Consider the following 4366-nt stretch of genomic DNA (forward strand, 5'->3'; position numbering starts at 1 on the left):
AAGACCCTTTTAGGTAAGAGTGAACATTAATTGCCAAGGCTCTATTCAGATAATCTCATTGAATCTTCAGAATGACTTTATGAAAGGGGTAGCATTTTTTTAACCCCAGTTTTACACAGGAGGAAATTGAGACATAAAGAAGTCAAGTAACTAACATTACACAGTTTGTACATGGCATAGTTGGCTAGGCAGTCCAACTCCAGACCACTGATATTAAACACTGTTAATATAATGATTGTGTGTTTTACCTTTGAGCAGATCACTTGACAATATTACTTAAGGCACAACAATCATGGAAACTTTCAGATTTGCCTCAAAGGTAGGAGAACCCTACACACACATACACACACACGCACGCACACACACACGCACGCACACACACACACACACACAAAGGATTGCCTGATGGTTTACCACATTTTGGTTACTGCATGCCTTTTATTTTCTTGACTTGGGTTAAAAAGACTTTAACAAAGCTCTTATAAATAAGATACCAAGTAAACAAAAATCTCATATTTGTACTGTTACTCTAATAAGCTTAATAACAATAATCTACAAACATCTGCAATCATAAAATAAAAACTTCATTACCATTTCAATGCAGTCACTACAAATCCTCAGGTTAGCCAGTACACCAGCTGTGTCCTGGTGCTTCACAACACAAAACAGCAATTCATTCCAAATTACCACTCTCTGTTAGTGACTCTTGCTCACTGGCTCCCATCCCAAATACTCCTGCTGTTCAGGTCCATTGTTTCCCCTCACTGGAAGCCTTTTATTTCCTGGGAAAGATTAAAGGATTGTCTCTATGAAAAACTAGGCTAATCTTCTAACTTTTGATTTCCCACTATTTGTCCTCCAACATATTGGATGTACTCAGCTTTTCTTTTCCTCCATCCAGTGGCATTTAATATACTTTTCTGGAAAGTGTTTAGAATTCTTCACCCAAAGAATAAAATTGAAGGAGTTAACAAAGCTTATGCTAGTTTCTGGCTTTGTAAAATAAACTAGTCCAAGATTCAGATAATGAGCTTTGATCTCCCTATAGGAGCTTTGAGTTGAGAAAACTCCCTTTCCATCATTCCTGCCGTGGGCCTCTAAATCATGAAATTCCATATCAAATTACAGAGAGCTTCCCTCTGAGAGTTTATGGCCTTGGAACAGCCAGTTAAAAACCAGACTGGTGGAAAATGCAGGATAGTCTTTGAGCCACATGCAACATGTATACCAGCTTATAGAAATTTTATACTCCTTAAGAGATCATACTTAACAGGCAGTTTATTTTTATGCTGCAAAATACTTATCTATTCCTTTTCATTTGGAGCTTAAACTTTTTTGCAATCCAGAACACAATTGAAGAGAGGGAATAAGAGGATATTTGATCTTAGCCCAACTGATGATATATAAGATCTCAGAGAAACATTGGCTTTCGGATTTAACTACTTTAGTGCAAAAACGTAGCCAAGAAATTTGTTTCTTCTGAGGATGTAGAATGCAAGTCTATTAACTGTCAAAATAGAAGTCATTTAAATATTTCTTTTATTTACCATTTCTAATCAGGTGTTAGATAATATTGGGAGAAGTATTTTTTTTGGTATTATCTTCTGTTATGTTGTCATAACCCATTACCTTGTGTAGATGAACTCACACTGTTTTCCCAGGGACCCTGGGGATCAGCTTATAAAAGCCTCTTCAGATCTTAATCTGGGAGCCTTTTATGAGGGGGTGAATACCCTGTTGGATCTGGGAGCTTACTTTGGAGTCCATTTTCCTCTTGGACTATAGTAGCTGATTGAACCTGAGGTTAACCCTAATAGCATGCACCACAGATGTCTTAACTCTTTGAGGATGTATCTATTTTGACACTGTCAATGAAAGAGGACTGCTCTGCCTGCTAACATAGAATGGAACTCTGCTGAGATAAAATGTGGCAGCCATTCAGGACACCACACATACTTTTCTAAGCAGCCTTCTATATGAATAAATGTTGTTATTACATGGCAAATTTACAAAGGCAGAAGGTAAGAGGGTAGAAGAATTTGTCTGCAGAGTTTTATTATATATTACAGAGATAGCTATTGGGGGAAAAATTGGTGATAAACATGGTAATGGCTCATTTTCTTAGATGGAGCTCATTAATCTTATCAACGATGGCCTCTTTTAAATCCTGACAAGAAATTTTCTGCAAGGAAGTATAGACATTGTGATATGAGGAATGTAAATGGGACACTCTGTAAAGCTGATTGACTTTAAACACACAAGCTAAGGATGAGCTGATGTCTTATGGGTCCTGTTTCTCCATCAGTATTTCTATGTAATCTTTTGTTTGGCAGCTAGCAGACACTACTTGATGTATTTTTCAAGACAGAAAAATATAGTGACACCTGTTTATGGAGTTCACCCACAGATCCACACATTGTGGACTGTTTTGACAACTGGTTTCTAAAAGTAGATTTAAGACAAATGTAGGCATTCTTTGGCATAATTAAACTCATCACAGAATGCCTACATGATCAACTTCTGGTACCTGAATGCCTATTTTAGGAGATCCCAATGGGTAAGTTGTAGTAATTTTGGAGACATCTATGAGGCTGCTATTAATTCTTAGATGATAGATTTCCATTATGAATGTGAACTCTCAGAAATGAGATTCAACTTAAAGAACTGAAATCATTTATTATGAAAGCACTACAGAGAACCCGGTTTAATCATTCCAATATACTGTATTATAAAACACGGTTGAAAATTCACCGTACTAGCATAGATGGTTTGCATAGACCAGGTTCAAAGTGCACCATTCTTTAAAGGGAATAGGAAAGTTTACCGATCACACCAGTGGTCTGTGCACATCTGTGTCTGAGTGTGATATGAAAGGTCAGATTCTTGGAGGCAGGAAAACTTGGAACAGGGAGTCAGTCATGAAATTTGGTGGCTCCACTGTAGTCCCAGCTACTCAGGAGGCTGAGGCAGGAGAATGGCGTGAACCCGGGAGGCAGAGCTTGCAGTGAGCCGAGATCACGCCACTGCACTCCAGCCTGGGCGACAGAGCGAGACTCCATCTCAAAAAAAAAAAAAAAAGAAAGAAATTTGGTGGCTCCAATTTTTTACAGGGTGTGACAATCAGTACCTGTGTAGACACAGAATAGAAATAGTGGGTAGCTGGATAACTCTTGTTGAGATAGAACATTGAATTAAAAACTATTGGCCTCTTAGAAAAGAGGCAGAAGCCTCAATCAAATTTTTGACTATATATATGTGTGTGTATGTGTGTATGTATATATGTGTATATAAAGACACACACACATCTTTATATACACATATATACATACATACACACATACATATATATATAAACCCCCACATATACATATACAAAGAGATATAACATTTCCTTTGAAAATGTCTATATACTTGAACTATACTAATCATCTACATGTGCATGGCAATATTGTAGGAATCTTGTATAGCATACCTACCAAATAAAATCTATACTACTGAGAACTATGCATTTTAATTCAGAAAACAGGATACTGTTAGACATAAAAGTGAGTGAGAGAAAAGATCCTTTTGGAAAACAAACCTTGATTAAATAAGCAAATAATATTAATGTTTTATACAAGATAGGATGAGATTCAAATTTCTTGTTTTTTTTTTTTTTTTTTTTTGGTAATGGCTATGTCTTTCTATAGTTTGATGCTTGTTTCATCCTTTCCTTTTCTTTCTTCACATGCTATCTTGTCTTATATCCTTAAAATTGGTGAAAGATCTTCTGAACACTTTTCATTCTGACTTCTGGATAAGATTTCTTTAGAGTGATCTATTTTTTAAAGGTCAGATAAGTTACAATATTATTAAAATGCCTTTTGATTTCCAGTGATGATTCATTCTGATTTGAAAATCTTTCTCAACTTTAACTCAGGGGTAGACTAAATGAACAATTATTGTATAAAGGAAAATGTATAGATTTTAATCATCTGCCAAAGAAAATTTGGGAGTTAAGGATAAAAGCAGAACTGGAAACAAGGGGCAGAGGAAGGGGATAATTAAAACCATGCTGATTAAATTCAGTATATTGAAATATTTTAACAAAATGAGAATGATCATTCATGTCCTGAGGGAAAATTGCCATTCCATTCTAGATGAAATTCCTATTTTTGAGAAGTGCAAATTTGCTAAAGTAGTACATTCATCCAAAATTAGCTTGTAAAATGCTTGCAATAAGCAACGTCTCCAGCTCATGGTCAAATGGCATTTTGTACGAATATTCAGTAATAAGATATCTTACATAGGTTAAAGTACAATTATGAAAATGTCTTCTATTTCTTCAGGATTTCATTACCATGTTTTGCAAATTTAATATCATATC

General features: G+C 35.6%; 1 annotated feature.

The window, feature by feature from the left end:
* Positions 255–1180: an enhancer, noted in NCBI's record as "OCT4-NANOG hESC enhancer chr12:90277501-90278426 (GRCh37/hg19 assembly coordinates)". NCBI's record gives its function as "activates a minimal SCP1, AML or CMV promoter by ChIP-STARR-seq in naive and primed H9 embryonic stem cells {active_cell/tissue: H9 hESC(naive and primed)}" and the evidence as "EXISTENCE:reporter gene assay evidence [ECO:0000049][PMID:30033119]".

The sequence above is a fragment of the Homo sapiens genome, chromosome 12 (assembly GCF_000001405.40).
Source record: "Homo sapiens chromosome 12, GRCh38.p14 Primary Assembly".
In the NCBI taxonomy this organism is placed as follows: Eukaryota; Metazoa; Chordata; class Mammalia; order Primates; family Hominidae; genus Homo; species Homo sapiens.